General features: G+C 41.7%; 1 protein-coding gene across 1 annotated transcript in view, besides 2 other annotated features; it reads left to right on the top strand.

Annotated features, from left to right (window-relative positions):
* HYDIN (HYDIN axonemal central pair apparatus protein) overlaps window positions 1-19,449 on the top strand; it is a 428,639-nt gene that overhangs the window by 231,181 nt on the left and 178,009 nt on the right. The window contains exons 24-29 of the mRNA NM_001270974.2: window positions 7,332-7,472; window positions 8,146-8,224; window positions 11,030-11,149; window positions 11,409-11,618; window positions 14,220-14,357; window positions 17,974-18,151. Coding sequence (NP_001257903.1) covers window positions 7,332-7,472; window positions 8,146-8,224; window positions 11,030-11,149; window positions 11,409-11,618; window positions 14,220-14,357; window positions 17,974-18,151 — 866 coding nt within the window. The remainder of the gene's footprint in view (window positions 1-7,331; window positions 7,473-8,145; window positions 8,225-11,029; window positions 11,150-11,408; window positions 11,619-14,219; window positions 14,358-17,973; window positions 18,152-19,449) is intronic.
* Window positions 11,247-12,446: an enhancer, noted in NCBI's record as "CDK7 strongly-dependent group 2 enhancer chr16:71020999-71022198 (GRCh37/hg19 assembly coordinates)". NCBI's record gives its function as "activates an origin of replication core promoter dependent on BRD2, BRD4, P300/CBP, MED14 and CDK7 cofactors, with strong dependence on CDK7, by STARR-seq in HCT116 cells {active_cell/tissue: HCT116}" and the evidence as "EXISTENCE:reporter gene assay evidence [ECO:0000049][PMID:35650434]".
* Window positions 11,902-12,196: an enhancer, noted in NCBI's record as "tiled region #8903; K562 Activating DNase unmatched - State 5:Enh". NCBI's record gives its function as "activates a minimal TATA promoter and a strong SV40 promoter by Sharpr-MPRA in K562 cells {active_cell/tissue: K562}" and the evidence as "EXISTENCE:reporter gene assay evidence [ECO:0000049][PMID:27701403]".

Here is a 19,449-nt window from a genome sequence, read left to right as displayed (position 1 = left end):
TGACCTGTCCTCTGAGCCTCAGTTTTGTCATCTGAAGACAGGATAATCATAATGGCTTCTTCCTCAATCTGTTGTGAAGATTAAATTAGGCAGTGCTTATCAAGTGCTTCATAGTTCCTGGTAGGGAATAGTGATGATAAGGTCAGCTGCAGTTACTTAATTGGGGCTCTTACTTGATACAGTTGCTTTACCACTATTCATGACCTTCTCACTACCATCTTCTAGGTCAGTGGTTCTCAGCCATGAATGCACATTAGAATCACCTTGGGAAGTTTCAAATAGATTGAAGCCAAGTAAATCAGAATCTCTATGGTTGGGATTCAGGCTTCAGTCTTTCTTAAGGTCCATGAAGGATCCCAATGGCCAGCCAACACTGAGAACCACTGTTCTAGAGGCTCCAATTGCAACTCCTTTTGAGAACCTTTTAAAAAGATGGTATTCATCTCCTAAGCTCTGAGTAACTTGAGTTTCAGCCTCTCAGCGATCTCTCGTCAGTTTCCACCTTAGCACACGTGACCAGTTGGAAGTATTCTGTGGTATAATAATGTCAGAGGGCTAGGGGAGGCTGCTTTCCATAATAGAGACATGTCTTTAGTTGGCTTCCCCTTCTCACGTGGCATAGCTAGACCATGCTGCTAGAGAAGGCACTGGGCCAGCCCATCTGTTTCCATCTGTCATTTGCTTCCCAATGTAGGATGATCAGCAAGTGTAGGACCACAAATCTAGACAATAAATATGGAAACATGGCAGGGACTTTGTGTCTGCACCCAGAGGGGCTTAGAAATATGCCCACTTTTAATATAATTTAAAGCAATATTATAATCTGCTCCCTTTAGAAACAGCAGTCAGGGGCTTGCCTAATCTGGAGCAGATTTGCGATGTGTAGAGTCAGAGGAAGGAAGGAAGGATGGATGAGAGGCAGGGGGTTTACAAAATGAGAAAAGCAAAGTTAGATAGCTGAGAACAAGAATAGGAATTTGGGAAGCCACCTGGTAAGATCTGACAAGTAAAGATGCATGGTTTGCATCAGATTATAAATTAGGAACAATGGAAATATGAGATTGGAACTGCAGGAGAAAATAATCTCAGCAATGAAATTAATTCACAGAGGCCACTAGCGCACACTCAGACCTTTGAAGTGCTGGATGTTCTCATAACTGGACCTCTGACCATGCAAGGCACCAGTGGCTACTGTGGATCATTTTCTCATTTTGATATCAGTGATTTATAAGGGTGATGACCAGCTTGCACCACTAAGAATATTGACATTTTCTTTCCATATACTTGAAATGTTTTCATTCCACTTGTTCATTCTGTAGTTGTTTATTGAGGGTAATTGTGCAGGGCACTGTGCTAGGGAGAATAAAACCAATCTGTATATGTTAGCTTTCATCACGCAACAAAGTACCCGAAACATAATTGTCTAAACAGAAAATATGTGTTAGTTCTCATGAATCTGTGAATTGCCTAGGTAGTTTTCAAGTTGCCGTTTGCATCACATTTTTGAATGCCTCATTGGCCAAAGGAGTCAAGCCAAGCCCAGATGCAAGGCCTGAAGAAAATAGACTCCATCTGTTGATGGGAGGAGAAGCAAAGTTGTATTACAAACAGTTGTGCTTACTGGAATTGGACAGATTACTTTTTTACAAATAGTAGACCATCTGATACAACATTTGAGCAAAACAAGATCTTTATAACCCTTTTTACTACAGGGAGTTAACTACAGTACTCTTGACTAGAATTTCATTCAACAAATGTTAGGCTTGACTCTAAGCTTGGTATGGTGCCCAGTGCTGGAGACCGTGGTGAGACAGACAGACATGGCTTCTGCCCCTGCTGATGAGTAAATTACAGTGTGGGATGTAGAAGCATGGAGATGACCCCTGAACCTGGACCTGGGGGTCAGGGAAGATGTTCCGGTGAAAGTAACATCTAAGCTAATGCTTAAAGATTAGGTAGATGTTAACGGCTCACTGCCAGGAGGAAGAGGTGCATGAGAGCAGTCAAAGTGACTGCTGGGGTCAGTGCTAGTCCCCATGGCTACTATCCCCCTTCCTGTCATGCCTGCCCCCAGTGCTGACCATCACTGGCCCCACCTCATTGCTTCTGTATTCTGCATCATCATTGTCATCACCATCACCTGCTTCCGTTTGGCACCTACACATACGCTGCTCCCACAACAGACTTCTTCCCTGTCCCTGGGGAATCCTATTTCCTTTACAGCAGGGGTTCTCAACTCCCCAAGGAACAGTACCAGTTTGTGGCCTGTTAGGAACTGAGCCACACGGCAGAAGGTGAGTGGCGGGTGAGCAAGCGAAGCTTCATCTGTATTTACAGCCACTCCCCACCACTCGCATTACTACCTGAGCTCTTCCTCCTGTCAGGTATCCAGCGGCATTAGATTCTCACAGGAGCACAAACCCTATTGTGAACTGCACATGTAAGGGATCCTGGTTGCATGCTCCTTATGAGGATCTAATGCCTGATGATCTGTCACTGTCTCCCATCACCCCCTGATGGGACCATCTAGTTGCAGGAAAACAAGCTCAGGGCTCCCACTGATTCTACATGATGGTGAGTTGTATAATTGTTTCATCATATATTACAATGTAATAATAATAGAAATAAAGTGCACAATAAGTGTAATGTGCTTGAATCATCCTGAAACCATCCCCCCCACCACCCCACCCAGTCCATGGAAAAATTGTCTTCCATGAAACCAGTCCCTGGTGCCAAAAAGGTTGGGGACCGCTGCTTTGCAGGCACGTTTCCCCCACTCTTCTTCCATTCTTTCTCCCAGGCATAGTTAGACCATATCCTCCTCCATGAAGACTTCTGTATGCATCCAAGAAGAGTTAGTACCTCCCTCATTTGAATTCCAAAAATGATGGTAATCCTCACCAACCCCACACAAGAGCAGCTCACATTCATTATTGGACATTTGCTATGACCCTGGCACCATGGGGCTCATTATGTGAACTATGGCTCACAGCAATCAGATGCGGAGGGTTCTCTTACTAACACAGCCCCCAGGCCCCATAGTGCACAAGTGGGGAAGCCGGAATTCAAACCCAAGCCCTCTGACCCCACAGCCATGCTCAGAACCCCTGTGCACTGCCTGGCTCCCTGCTGGAACACTTGTACCCTAAAGCACAGCCACTCCTGTGGCTCTGACTCTGATCCACTGGCCTCTTAGCTCCTTGAAGCAAGGGTTGGGTTTCTCATCTTTAGAATCCTACAACACTGTAGTGGATTCCCTAGGAGAGCCCGAGAGTGTGGTTCTTGAGGTGACTTATTGAGGGAGGGCTCTCAGGAGAACTATAAGAAATTAAGGGAAGCAAGATAGGGCCAGAAGAAAACTAGGGGAAGATGTGATTTCAGAAGTCTCACCTCTGCCTGATCCCGTGGGGAGCTTTGGAGTGTAAATTACATCACAGTTTGTCCCACTCAGAGACAAGGAGGCTGGGCTCTCATAGCTGCCACCCCTATCAGTCACTCCTTCCTATAAGTCATACCCTAATGAGAGGGAAGGCAGCTCAGGGTGAGTGAGACATCTCCCATCAGGCCAGGGCAATGCTCCAGAGGAAGGTACAGCCACACCCACAGCACCTGGGGGCATCACCCTAATGAAGTGCACTGGCAGCATCTGCTGCAGTCATCAGTTTTAAAAAAATATTAAACAGCATATGCAGGCCCTTCTTGTCCAGCTGATTTCATCCTCTGTAGTGGACGCTCCCAGAAGCCAAGTCTAATGAATCAATGAATTAGAAATCAGTGTGTCTCCTGCAGGGCTGCCCACCCCTCCCTGCCACCTTTTCCCACAAGACTACACTGCGCAGACTTCAATGGGTGTCCAGCATCCACCATCCCATCTGCAAAGATCATGGAAGCTGCAACACAGAACATTAACTGAAATACAAGCTTGTTCATCAGGGTTTTATTTTAGCGCCACACTGCTTCCAGTGAAGAAAGGACAGGAAAGAAGTATGGTGGATTTTTTTTTTAACTTTGTAGCACAAAAGATTGTGGTGATCCTTCCCCAAGAGTTGAAAATAAAACATGAGGAGGGAAACCACTGCCCCCAAAGCCAGTGCTGCTGATGAGCGGGTGTCTGACATGCATGTGATTCTCTGGCAGCTACAGGGAACATTTCTTTCCTGGCTTCTCCCATGATTCTGATACGGGGAGCTCTGGAATTGGAACAGTATCGATTGTTCTTGTTTGCTATGCACTCCCTTTTAAAAATAACTGAATCTACTCCTGTTTGGGTCAGCATACCAGGAAAGTAATCACCTGTTCCTGAGGGTAAAAGGAAATCTGATCCAAAAAAACTCTACCAGCGTTCTATTTCAATATTTTGGAGCAGGTTTTCTGGTTTTAATAACGTAAAGTCCTCATTACAGTAAATGTTTCACTGTCTCCTGTGGCTCAGGGGGCAAGCAGGGAGGGCGGCTCTGCCTTCCTCTATTGATTTCCAGAAAGACCTCTTACTTCCCAATTGTCCAGGTAGCATTGTCAACTGAGGTGTTGTTTTTCCTCAGGTATGAAGACCCTCTACAGCTTTGTATTTTTCCATTACAGAAATTCCCATTTGTTTTCTCTTTATGCAGCACATCCCACAGGGGTGCAAAGGCTGGATGGGTGAGTGCTATTATGTGGGGCAGCGAGCCGGCAAAGCCTCGCCAGGCGTCTCTGCTGACCTGGAGTGATTTCATAAGTGTTCAGAATTGTCCTCGGCTGATTTTCACTGTCCCTAGCTGTTAAGGCTGCAGTGATAGCCCCATATTAATTATCAGCTCCATTCTCAGCTGTCATGCTGCCATTCCTACCCACGGCAGCTCCTAAATCTGGCTGCCCATTAGAATTGCCTGGGAAGGCTGTTAAAAATCTAACTCCTGAGACCTGCTGAATTGTAATCTGTCAGAGGACAAGGTTCAGGAATCTTTATTTTAAGGAGCTTCCCGGGAGATTTGTTAGCACCCAGCCCAACATGCGTTCTCTGCCCCTAATGGAGTGGTTTCAGCCAGAGGTAAAGTCAGCTAGAGACATCTGGTCTGGAACAAGTCAAATGGAAGCTCAGGCCAAAAATGAAAAGCGCTTTTCCATACTCTGTGAATTCTCCATGCTTTCCCATCGCCACTCTTTATCCCAGGTTGACAGACAAGGTGCAGAATAGTCAGATTACCCTCTATGCTATTCAACTGTTCTCATTCAACATTCCACACACCCATCCATCCATCCATCCATCCATCCATCCATCCATCCATCCATCCATGCATCCATCCATTCATTCAATCAACCAAACATCTGTTGAGCTTGGGCTGCATGTATAAGACCCTGTGCAATAGGGTATGTAAAGAGGGGACACCGTGGATCCTCCTTCCATACAGTAATAAGCCCAGCCAAGATCATGCCAGCCCAGTGTTTTCCCTTCTTAAAAGAGCAACCAGAGCTCAGCTCAGAGCCTTCACCAGGCAAGAAAATAATTACATTGATTTTTTTCCATTGTGTTGATTTTTCTAAATATGCTAGATAATCCTGTGTTTTCATTTATAGTAAATGAAATAGACATAGACTATATCATTTACTATATTATATAGTAAATGACATAGAATTTTCCTTTAAACTAAGCCTATTAATGAATACCACAATGTGATATCACCGTATGCTCATTTGAATGGCTAAAATGTAAAAGACTAAATACCAAGTGTGGATGAGAATGCAGACCAACGAGAACTCTCATACAATGCAGGTGGTAGTGTAAAGTGGTACAACAATTTTGGAAAACTGGTTGGCAGTTTCTTGTAATGTTAAATATACATATACCATACAACCCAGCAATTCGCTTCCAAGGAATTTACCCAAGAAGAATGAAAACATATGTCTACAAAAAGACTTGTACACAGATGTTCATAGCAACTTGATTCATAGTATCTAAAAGCTAGAAATAGTAAAGGTGTCCATCAACAAAAAGATGGGAAAACATCCACACTATGGAATACTGCTCCAAAGAAAGAACAGAATCATTGCTCCATGCAAAAACATGGACAAATCTCAAAAACATCATGCCAAACAGAGGAAGTCAGACACAAATTTGTACATGTTTCCAATTTCATTTCTATGAAAGTGTGGGCAAATTAATCTCTAGTGATATTAAGCAGATGAGTGTTTGCACAAAGCAACTTTTTAGGATGATGGAAACATTCTGTTTATTAATGTGGTGATAGTTCCACAGATGTGTATACAACTCATCAAACTGTGTGCTTACAAATCACGAAGATGGTAGTGGGATCCCTGAAATTTAGGAAATGATACTCTAGGATCCCTGAAATTTAGGAAATGATACTCTAGGACATGGTTAGAGTGGACAGTGTCCTAAAAGAAGTGCAGATGAAATGCTCTGAAGCTTCCAAGGGAGGGAGAATTTCTTCCGGTGGGAAGATAGGCCAGTGGTGGGAGCTTCACATAATAGATGACATTTGTGCTGAGCCTCTGAGTACAGATGGGGCCAGAATGAGTATATAAGTGAAATAGATTGAAATTAACATCAAGGGCTTGAGATAGGTTGGGGAGGGTCAGAGAGGGGTCCAGAAGAAGCCATGCACCAAGGGGAAACAGGAAGAATGGGGGTGACCCCACAACCTTGGCCTTTGTGACATCCAAAGGCCTTTTTAATCAGTGGAACCTGGACATATGGGCTTCAGCACCAGCCGGTACAGTTGCTTTTCCCCTGGGTTCCTCTGCTCAGAGAACTTGAGTGGCAGCACAGCTCATTGGTGGGACCAGGACTAGGGTGTGGCAAGCAAGGCACTGAGGTCACATTGTAGGAGGCAAGGTCATGTAAGAAACCCGAGCCTGCACTTCCAGGCCCCTAACAGAGAGTGCTTCCCAGGCCTCAGCTGAGTCTTAGCCCTGCTTTCTGGTGAACTGGGAGCAGGATCCCCAGTGGCTCATTCATTCATGACCATGCCGACTACTTATTCCAGGCCAGGCACTGGATTAGACACCATATTGGATACCAGTCCTCAGCGAGTCCACATCTAACAGGGATGGTAAAAATAAGTGTGAAAGGGGAAGCCCAGGGGGCTATGGACACTCAGAGGAAAGAAGTTGGGCCTAGACTGGTAGTCAGAAAACTTTTTAAGAGCAAGTGAAATTTTAGCTGAGATTTGAAGAAGGCAAGTTCAAGGGAGGGTGTAGGGTGGTCCCTACTAGATCTGCCTGGTCTAGGATTTGGAGTTTGGCCTTAGAAACTGAGAGCCCACTGAACACTGATTTGCAAAAACTGATGTCTCCTGTCTCCCCCTATTCCCTGTCCCATGCTTTGGTAGGTTTGTGACATTGCCGAAGAAGCCCTACAGTGCCCCAGTGTCCCAGATGGAGTCCATCCCAGCAACCTCAGAGGCTGCCAGCCCACCAGCAATCCTAGTTACAGTAGAGTCCCCCGAGATGGATTTAAATGATTTTGTTAAGTAAGTGCAAAGCCAACATAGATTATTTGTAGTAGCTTTTCTTTTCTTTACACGGACTTACATTCTCAATACTCATCCCTCATTGGTTCATTCATCCAGTACCCAGTCAACAGTTTAATAAATGTCTTCTATGTGTAGGCCCCAGACTAGACATCTGGGATAGGGAGAGGGTACCATCATGAGTCCTGGGGGACTGAGCCCTTCCTATCATATTGTCCTCTCTGTATGTCCAAGGTCTACAGTCAGGATTGGGTCCAGGGTAGCAAGCAGGAAAGGATATATCAATTCACCAAACATTATGTCCTCACAATAAAATGCTCCAATAAATAGGGAAACAACATTGAGCACATAGAACACCCACATTGTCTGAAGAATTGCTGGAGCTTCCTAGGACTTTTTGTAAGTTGAACATGGGCTTGGTGGGCCAGTAAAAAAGGGTTGAGCCCCGTGAAAAATTGACCAGTTCAGTGGCCTAGACCACATGTTTGGGGGCATAGGGCAACAGGGCCCTGACCAGCTGACCTCTTGAGAAAGGTGTCCCTTGATTGAGAATCCCCCTTACGTTTGGGGGTGTGGTAGAGGGAGAAGAGGAAGACAGGGCTGTTATGCACCTGAGACTGTGTGGCGATGACAGCCCAATGAGTGAATCTCTGCATTTCATTAAACTTCCTAGGACTGTCCTTGTGGATGAAGATGCCAGGCCTGAAGAAAAAGAACTAAGAAAAACGAAAGCTTCCAGTGTGATCTCAGATGTACGGTGTCCTTTCCATGGGGAGGGTAGGCAGGTCAAGGGTCCTTCCCATAAAACAAAGGCAGAATCAGGAGCAGAGTGGCCAGTACAATGCTTGGGTTTAATTGGGACAAAGCCGTACAGCTTTACCCACATTTCTTCCCAGCCAAACACCCCAGAGCCAACACTCAGTGAGAGCCTACACTTGTGATGTTCCTACACCCTAGATAGAGGATACTAAAGGAAAAATATTTTCTTAATAATTCTGTAGCAAAAACAAAGGGGGCTTAAAAATTAATACCCTTAAATTCTCCTTCTAGAATGACGGCCTAAGTAAACTATTGGAGATACAAAGATGTGCATACAAAGATGCTTGTTACAACATTTTAGAAACAGCAAAAAATGAAAAACAAAATGAAAGATAAATTGCTGTATGTCCATGATGTGATGCAATCTTTTAAAATAGTGTTGAGTGGGATTTTCCTACAGTGTGGGTAGGAGTATGAATTGGCATAACCTCTATAACATACAACTTTGCAAGTAGATCAAAATTTAAAATGCATTGTCCCCCTTCTAGAAATTATCCTCCAGATACACCTCTGCACTTGCATAAAGCATGTAACCATCCTTGTACACTGCAGCTTTGTTTGTAAAAGCAAGAAATATTGGAAACAACTTAATTCCACCAATAGGAGACCGTCTGAATAAACTAAATTACATCTGCACAAGGCAATACTATGAAATTCTTTTTTAAAAATGAGAAAGTTCTCTACATACTAATTTGGCACAATCTTTGATATATTAAGAAAAAATACCCAGTGCAAAACAAAGTACACTGTGTGCTACCATTTGTATAAAGAAAAAAGTCTATGAAAGCAACCAACACTTAACTGAGCACTGACCTAAGCTTTTTTTTTTTTTTTTTTTTTTTTTTTTTTTTTTTTTGAGGCAGAGTCTCACTCTGTTGCCCAGGCCAGAGTGAAGTGGTACCATCTTGACCCACTGCAACCTCCACCTCCTGGGTTCAAGCAATTCTCGTGCTTCAGCCTCCCAAATAGCTGGGATTACAGGCACTTGCCATCATGCCCGGCTAATTTTTGTATTTCAGTAGAGACAGGGTTTCACCATGTTGCCCGGGGTGGTCTTGAACATCTGAGCTCAGGCAATCCACCTGCCTCAGCCTCCCAAAGTCCTGGGATTACAGCCATGAGACATCGCCCCCAGCTAAGCAATTTTTTACATTAACTCTTTTACTTTTCCCAACACCTCTGTGAGGTGGATACCACTATCTTTCCCCATTTTACCAATGCAGGGACACGTCCATCAAGCAGTGGAGCTGGAAGACTCGACCATCTTGCTTGCTCTTAGCTACTGTGTTATCTCTCAAACAGTTACATAGATATCTTTGCTTGTGCGTGGAATATCTCTGGAATTTAATCTTCATGAGGGCAGGAATTTTTTTTCTGTTTTGTTCATCGTCATATCCTCAGGATATAGAACTGGTTCTTAGTAAGTCCCCAGTAAATATCAGCTGAATTAAGAGGAATAACTAAATTCAACATATAGGAAACTGGACAGTGGGTACCTCAGGAGGGGAGAACCGGAGAACTGTAGGGATAGAAGTCTTTTTTTATCTTTTTACCATATATCCTTTTGAATATTTTAAATTTGTATCATGTACAATCAACTTTCTAAAATACTTTAAGTGATGTTTGTGAAGAATATTCAGTCATATGGGAAGATGGCACTCATATTAGGTCAACTGAAAAATCAGAATACAAATATGTATGCACACATAATACACTATATATACACACATATATATAATAATATTTATCTACAGTATAACCTGAGATGGACTTTTATTTCTTTCCTTGGAGCTTTCTATATTTTAAAAATTTTTTAGAATGAGTATGTGTGAGTATATAAAATATTTGTCTTTTAAATATTAATTCTTCTTTTTCTGTTTTCAAAGATGCGTGTCATAGAAAACTCAAGAATAGGCCAGAAACAGTGGTTCACGCCTGTAACCCCAGTACTTTGGGAGCCAAGGCAGGAGGATGGCTTGAGGCCACGAGTTCAAGACCAGCCTGGGCAACATAACGAGACTCCAGGGTGTGGTGGTGCACGCCTGCAGTCCTGGCTACTTTAGGGAGGCTGAGGTGGGAAGGTCACTTGAGCCCAGGCATTCAAGGCTGCAGTGAGCTCTGATCATGCCACTGCATTCCAGCCTGGGTGACAGAGACAGACATCTTGTCTCAAAAATAAAATATATATGTACATATATATGTACATGTGTGTACATATAAACTCAAGAATACAGAAAAATTAAAGCAAACATCCTCAAAATTCCCATCTTCTTTCTACCCCACTGAGAAAAATGCTACGAAATTCTTAGCAAACAACCTCCCAGATATTTCTATTTGCCAATGCAAATCTCTGAAGGAATTTACACACACACACCTTCAGACACATGAGGCATATGTAATTTTACATGAATAGAACTGCTTTTCACTCAATAATATGTTGTGCACATCATCCCTATCCATAAATATACATGCATTATCCTTCATGGATAGGTGTACCACACACACTTCATTTAAAGTGACCCCCTATTGATGGGCACTGAGTTGGCTTCCAAAGTTTTGCTGTTATAAATAATGCTGCAGTAAACATCCTCGTATGTACATTATAGTCACTTGCTCAATTATCTTCCTGGGAAAAAATGTACTATTTTTATAATCATATACAACATACTTTATTTTTCTGTCAATTGATGATCCATTTTGAATGCTTGCCAGCTTTTCCTCACATCTTTAATTTCTAGGAAATAAAAATTAGCTCTACTGAAATAGAAAGAATATACTCAAGCCAGAGCCAGGTGGAGGATCAGGAATCCCTACAGACCTGTGAACAGAATGAGATGCTTTCCATTGGGATAGAAGAAGTAAGTGACACCGTGTGATTCCTGACCTTATCAGACACTAACTTTACTTTCTAACTGAGCAGCTGCCCCACATTAGAAACTTAAATCTCACCAGAGCACTGTTACCATCATTACCATTATGTGTTTTCAGGGTGCTGGGCTACCTTCTATCAAATGAGTTAAAGACTGGAATTAATGTGTAAATTGACATAACTTTCACTTATCCTTGGCAGGCATTCATCCCAACAGCTGCTCTCTTACAGAATGACTTTCTCTGCAGGTGTTTGATATTTTGCCCCTGTTTGGAGTGTTGCAGCCACACAGTAGCCACCAAATATCGTTCACCTTCTATGGACACGCTAACATCATTGCACAAGCTAAAGCTCTGTGTGAAGTGGAAGAAGGACCCACCTACGAAATAACACTGAAGGGAGAGGCGTCCCTGGTCAACTATTCCTTTGACACCAAGGATATTCACTACGGATTACAGGTATCACAAACCATCGGGTAGAGATTTTCTGGTTTTGTCTTAAGCATCTTAAACAAATCTCTCCTGAACCCCAATCATCATAGTCTCGCCATCACCCCGTCCTTGATCTCCCATCAGCCTCCCTAACCCTGACCATCCTCCTGCTGCCAACTGTTTGCCAGATACTTACACTTGCTTTTCTTATCGTCTCCTGAAACTCAGCATGTTAGATGCTCAAGGTCACTTCTTCCCTTTCAATCCAGGAGCCTGTTCCAACTTCTGCATTTCTTTCAATAGCATTACCATTTTCTCCACCCTTGGGTTCACAATCTCCAAGGCTTTTCCGCTGCACTCTCTCCTTCACCTCTCCACATCCTTCTAAGCCTCCAGGGTTTGCTGACTCATCACCAGCGTCCCTCTCTGAGTCAGTTTTCTCTTCCCATTGCCACTGATATCACATTACAGGGTCTCATCAAGCCATGCCTAAATTATTACAGCAGTTCCTCCCACACTGTAATGTGCCTATGAATCACCTGGGAGTTTTGTTCAAGTGCAGATTCTGATTCAGTAAGTCCAGCGACATTTTCCAAAATGGTGTTGTCATCCTGTCAGTCCCTGACCAATTAATCCCAGCAGCATTTGGCAAAGCAATGTGATATTGACCAAAGAGCGTGGTTTCGTATTCCGGTTTTACTTCCTCTTTGTATTCCGGTTTTACTTCCTCTTCCTATTCCAGTTTTACTTCCTCCCGACTGCATGACCTTGGGCACATCACCTCTCCAAGCCTCAGTGTCCCTCATCTATAAGGTGGGAACGGAGTAGCAAGCCCATCCCACCAGGAGTTGTCATTGCTTAAAGCATCTATCTGGTCAGTGCTGTGCTGGGTCAGAGTTGGCTGTCAATTGTCATGAGTTCCTTTGGGTCAGAGCCCATTCCTCACCTGGGTGAGGCTATCCTAAGCCTCTCTATTAACTGGTGATCTTTACACTGGAAGTTTCACTTCCCATAATTCCCTCTTGTAGTCCATACATTTCACTGTGGCCAAGCTGGTCTACCCACCGGCCCCAGTGCACCCCAGCGCTTCATGCAGCTACACTTTGTCTTACCTTATCCCTCTCATCCTCCACTCTGCCAAACCCAAACCTTTACATCCTATAAGACCCAGCTCAGCTCCTTCTAGGGTTATCTTTTACTTTACATTCCCTTGGCACTTAATGATAGTCTTTGCCATAATATAATATACTTTCCCATTTTTGTTTTGGAATAATTGTCAATTAATTCCATCAGTACACATTCTCTTCCCAATCAGATTTTGTGTTATGCACTCGGAGACCATATCTCCTACCAAATTTCCATGAGGATTGAATCTCCATTACATAGCTCCTGCATGTATCATTACTGAATTGTGTGCATGCATGTGTGTTTATAGATCAAAGATTGTGCCTAAAATCTGATTCACCCAGCACCTACTGAGACCATCTCCATGATGCTGACCAAATAGAATTCTCTTGCCTTCGTCGTCTCCAGGGTCCTTTGGGCACTTGGTTTCGGCTCATGTCTGAGTATAGTCTTTGAAGCAGTCAGACCTCACCCTAGCTTTTCCTAAGGACCCCCAAAGTGGCCTGTTTGTGGTTATTGGGCCTGCTAACCCAGCTGGTGAATTATGTTAGCAAAATTCCAGGAAAAAGAACATGACTGGCCTGTTACACCCATGGTTCTCCATTTGAATGGAAAAGTTCATTCTAGAACATTCTAAACTCAAATCTTTTGTTTTTCTTACAGGACAGAATCCAGAAGGCAAATCTTTTTTTTTTTAATTTATTTATTTTAATTCTTTTTATTATACTTTAAGTTCTAGGGTATATGTGCACAACGTGCAGGTTTGTTGCATATGTATACATGTGCCATGTTGGTGTGCTGCACCCATTAACTTGTCATTTACATTAGGTATATCGCCTAATGCTATCCCTCCCCCCTCCCCCCGACCCCACAACAGGCCCTGGTGTGTGATGTTCCCCTTCCTGTGTCCAAGTGTTCTCATTGTTCAATTCCCACCTATGAGTGAGAACATGCGGTGTTTGGTTTTTTTGTCCTTGCGATAGTTTGCTGAGAATGATGGTTTCCAGCTTCATCCATGTCCCCACAAAGACATGAACTCATCATTTTTTATGGCTGCATCTCGCTGGGGCCTTACGAGCTTACTTTCTCACTATTCACAATAGCAAAGACTTGGAACCAACCCAAATGTCCAACAATGATAGACTGGATTAAGAAAATGTGGCACATATACACCATGGAATACTAGGCAAATCTTTTTAATGTAGAAAGCTTACTTTAAGATTCTCTATTACAAGTTCCTGTAGTGAAAAAACTGAGACCCAGGAAGGTGAAATGCTCAGCCCCACAGCCATACCTAAACTGAATCGGTTCTTAGAAGAACTAAGAGCCAGGTTTCCAGAGTCTAGTGCCCCAGTAGGCATTTGTTGTGATGCTGAGATGTAGATTGACCAGTATTTATATCAGGAGCTGTCACACCCTTATCCATGAGGCATGTTTCTGCACCTTTGTCACTATCAAAGCCGCATCCCAAGATGGAGTCACTCTTCTCCTTCTCTTCTCAAGCTGTTTGACCATGTCACAGAGAGGGAAATCACGCTGACGAACATGGGGAAAGTTGGCTTTGAGTTCAAGGTTCTGACTGACCACCAGTCTTCTCCAGACAACCTTCTCCCTGGAGTGCCACTAATCCTGCCTGTGTCTGTAAGTAAATGGTGGGAGGGGCCCGAATTCAAACCTACGAGCCCCACTCCGAAGCAGGTGAGTATTCACGACCAGGATTACAAGTGTGATTTTTTCTTTTTGTTAAAACTAAAGAACTCTCGGAAGCAGAAAAAAAAAATAAATCCAAGCCACTTCGCTCATTTATTAAACAAATATTTATTTAGTCCCACAGTAACCAGTTTCCAGGCACCAGGGATACAGCAATCAACAAGACAGATGCAACCCATGGATTTTTTTTCCATGATAATGAGACTAATTTATTTCCACCGATGTCTTCACGCTGCCCTTGTAATTCCCGAGGGCTTCCTCTCCACTGACTTCAGCAGGTGTGAAAACACTAGCAGACTGCGCTGAGCCAAACTGGTTTCAGAAGCAAACAGAGAAAGTGGTTCCTTGTTCATATTATGTTGATCTACCAGTTTTAAGGAACATTTGTTGAATTTTTCTCATTATGAAAATAGCACATAATTGTTATTAAAAAAGGAAAATATTTTTAAAGTGTAATTATTCATAATCTTGTAAATCCAAAGATAATGAGCACCATCATCTTTAATGATAAAGTCTGTTCTTCCCCTAAATCATCTCACATATTTGGGTTTACTGCTGGTCTCTTTATTCTTCATTGCTCTGTTTGTCCCTACATTAATACTGTACTATTTTAGCTGCTATGGCTTTAGAAATACATCTTAATATCTGTTAGGTCAACTCCCCTTTTGGTTTTTTTTCCCAATTTGTCTTAGCTAATCTTTTGAATTCACTTTTTTTTTTTTTTTTTTTTTAAGACCATGTCTGGCTCTGTCACCTAGACTGGAGTGCAGACCTCAACTCACTGCAACCGCTGCCTCCTGGGCTCAAGCAATCCTCCCACCTTAGCCTCCCACATAGCTGGGACCACAGGCATGCACCACCACACCCAGCTAATTTTTGTATTTATTGTTTATTTTATTTATTTATTTTTTGTTTTTTAGAGACAGGGTCTTGCCATGTTGCCCAGGCTGGTCTTGAACTCCTGAACTCAAGGTGTCTGCCTGCCTTGGCATCCCAAAGTGCTGGGATTACAGGCGTGAGCCCCATCTCGCCCAGCCCAAATTCACTCTTGTGTTTTGTTTCTCTAACTTTGTGACTTGAATGCCTGCTTTTATTGTTTTTCTTAGTTAATAATGAAAAAATGTAAGACTATTCATTTGCCTAAGGACACCTTTAGCCTTACCCCTTATATTTTAAGAAAATTACAGATAAAAAAGTAGATGACAATTTTTGTGTGTTTTATACATGTTAATATTTACTATTATGATTTTCATTATTTTCTAAGTTGTCTTAAATTATAGTTTTACTTACAAATGTAATTTAAAATATATTTTTCTTTTTTTAATTTCCAAATGATTATGATTTTTGCTTTTGTTACTTATATTGTTACCAATATTGAGGTTTTTTTGAATCACGATCAGATAATATGGCCCTCTAAATTCCTACTTAGTGAATTTATTAATATATTTTAGTGACCTAAAGTAATTTTTAATACTAATAAATGTTTGAAAATAATGTTACCTGGGCTATAGAATCCAGATTATCATATCTGGATTCTCTACTAAATTAACCCAAATAATTATAAGATTAAAATCTTCTATATCTTTTTCTGTTTAATTTTTCTAAGACTCAAGAGTGGTATATAAAACTTTTGTCCATTTCTCTATTGTTTTCTACAAATACATACACCTTTTTGTTTATACCCTTTCGTTTCTGTGTTGACACAGAAGATCTCATGACTATTAAGTGTTCATCATGGACTGTGTGTTCTGTCTACCTTCAATTGCCTTCTTGTTCCCTTTGAATGCTCTTCTTTGAATTCCCCTTTGTTTGGTCTTAATATTGTGATTGCTGCTTTCTTTTTGCCTTACATAATTTGCCCATAGTCTTATTTCATTTTGTTTTAGGCTTATCATTCATAAAACATACTTATTTGGATTTTATTTTTTAATCTTCTCTGAGAGTCCTTAAGTTTCAATAGGAACATTTAACACATTCTTATGATTAGCAAAACTGAAATGCTTGCTATTATTTCTTTCATCGTATCTTGTCTATTTTTTAAATTTACTCAGTGTTTTCTTTCTATTCGATCTTTTTATCATAATTGCTATGTTTTCCTTGCCCTTTTTCTAAAGATTTTTAAGCATTTGAATTTACATTGCTGCAGTTATTGTAAATTGATAACAACTCTATAGAGAATAATTTGGCCTTATCTATCAAAATTATACTTTGACCTAGAAATTTCATTTCTAAGAATTTATTCTACATACACGTTCCCACATTTGCAAAATGATGTGTTTATAAGATTATTTCCTGTATAATCTGTAATGGCAATAGCAAAAGACCAGAAACAAACTAAATGTCTATCAGTAGGAAACTAGTTTTTAAAAATATGTTAAAACTATGTAATGGAATAATATGTAGCAACTAAAAAGGATGGAGCAGCTCTAGATGTACTAATATTGAATTAATCGTAAAATATATTGTTAGGTAAAATGAAAAGAAAAGGAAGACGAAAAACACTCTGTATGCTACCATCTGCATTTAAATATTATATATATATATTGCTGGATTCACTCAGCTAACATTTTACTTACAATTTTTGCACCTTTGTTAAGTGATCGTTGGTTCATAAATTTCCTTCTTCATGCTGCATTTGATCAGTTTGGATATCAGAATAAATAAATGGGCATTTCTCTCTCTTCTATTTCCTGAATGGGTCATAAACTGAAGTGATTATCTGTTTTTGAAGGAATAGCAGAACTTGCTTCCAATGCCATATATTCCTTTGTCAGGGTAATTGTCTTCATTTTTCAGCTTCTGTATAGGATACAGATCACTCTAAGGTTTTTGAGTTTTGTTATTCATATTTTTCTAGGAAATTGTTAATTTCACAAAAATGTTTTAATATATTGACATAAAGTTTTCTCATAATTGTATATGATTTATGTACTATTTTACTATATATTTATGAACGATTTTTCTTTTTTTTTTCTTTTTTTTTTTTTGGAGACGGAGTCTTGCTCTGTCGCTCAGGTTGGAGTGCAGTGGCGCGATCTCGGCTCACTGCAAGCTCTGCCTCCCGGGTTCACGCCATTCTCCTGCCTCAGCCTCCCGAGTAGCTGGGACTACAGGTGCCCACCACCATGCCTGGCTAATTTTTTGTATTTTTAGCAGAGACGGGGTTTTACCGTGTTAGCCAGGATAGTCTCGATCTCCTGACCTCGTGATCCACCCACCTCAGCCTCCCAAAGTGCTGGGATTACAGGCGTGAGCCACCAGGCCCGGCCGAACCATTTTTCTTTTTACATTTTTAGTGACTTTTCTCCTTATCTTCTTAATCAGTCTTGCCAGTTTTGTGTATTTTATTCGTCTTTTTTCAAAGAACCAGTTTGTGGATTTACGAACCTCTTCTGTTTCTTTGCACTCATTTCATTAAATCTCTTACTCCTTTCCTTCTTTTTTTAGGTTTACTTTGTCATTGTTGTTGTTGTTTTAAGTAATTTAATGAGTTGAACCTGTACTGTAGCACATTCGTTTTCCCTTTTCTGGTCTTTCTACCGCGTAGGGCTTTATCAGTTCACATCAAGAGCAGGTATTAAAAGTTTACTACCTACCTGGAGTACCTGAGGTCTTTAAAAGGAGTTTCCAGATACAGATCGCCCACCTGGACCCAGAAAATATCACTCTGAGCGGAGAGGGAATCTTTCCCCAAATCTGCCTCGATCTCCCCAGGAACCTCACAGGTAGTACTTCACACTGGAGTAGTTCCCCACTGGGGACAAAACAAGCATTTTAGCTTTGCTTATTGGAAGATTGCTGGCTACTTACTTTATTTGCTTGGAAATGCCCTGTGGTTCTCTTCCACGTTATTCTGCAATTGCCAAATTGGTGACCTGAGTTTACTGCGACAAGAAATCGTCTATGGCAGCCCCAAGTGAAGAACCCTGGCCAATTTGGCCATTATTGAATTACTGACAGAGGGATCAGGAAATTTACCTCCAAAAGCTTTTCCTCCCCCATGCACTTTCCTTCTGGCCCCAGTCTTTCCCCGAGCTGTCCTTTCCCTGTGACATTCTCCTAGATGCCACTGGGAAGGTAAGAGCCAATGAGCTTCCAGGAGTAGAATTCTCAAAGTATAAACTGCACAGAAAGGCGGACACAGATTCTGAGCCCTTATTTTGGCATTACACAGGGTGAAGGCTAAATTAGACTTGAATAATTGTCTTCCCACTTACATTTCCCAGTTACATCTGGCCCCCAGGACTATCCTTTTGTAGCAGAATATTTCTGTCTTGGCAGATTCCGAACCTCAGCTGAGCAGCCCTTTTAGCCATAGACTGTCTCTGGCTCTTTCTTCCTGACGTCAGGTACAGGACGATGGATCAGGGAAACCTCTCACTCTTTATGAATCTCTATTCAAGCTCCTTGAAATCTACTTTCCCTAAAAAGCTTCAGACTAAGTCCTCCCACCCAGCCTTTCCTGTTACCCCATTCCCTGAAGTTACTAACTCTCCTGTTCATAATCATCCACTGAATTCTAATTGTCTGCTCCCTGAAAACTTGCATATATATATATATAATTTATATTTATATTTATATATATATATAGGCAAGACCCTGTCTCTTTTTTAAAAAGGTCTCGCTCTGTTACCCAGGCTGAAATACAGTGGTGCAATCAGAGCTCACTGTAATCTTAACTCTTAGGCTCAAGGGATCCTCCCGCTTCAGCTTCTTGAGGAGCTGGGACTACAGATGTGCACTGCCATGCCTGGCTAATTTTTTAATTTTTTTTTTTTTATGATAGGATCTTACTTTGTTACCCAGGCTAGTCTTGCATTCCTGGTCTCAAGTGATCCTCCCATCTCAGCCTGCCAAAGCACTAAGATTACAGGTGTTGAGCCACAATGCCTGGCAATAAATGTCACTAATGCTAAGACCATGTTACACTCTCGTATCTAGAGTTCCAGCCAGATGAGGGTTACTCCAGCTCTACATATAATTTCAGGAAGGAAAACCTTTGCTATACGGTTGAAACTGGGCA

This window comes from Homo sapiens, chromosome 16 (genome assembly GCF_000001405.40).
Source record: "Homo sapiens chromosome 16, GRCh38.p14 Primary Assembly".
In the NCBI taxonomy this organism is placed as follows: Eukaryota; Metazoa; Chordata; class Mammalia; order Primates; family Hominidae; genus Homo; species Homo sapiens.
The sequence above is the reverse complement of the archived record's forward strand: the minus strand, read 5'-3'. Positions and strand labels throughout refer to the sequence as shown.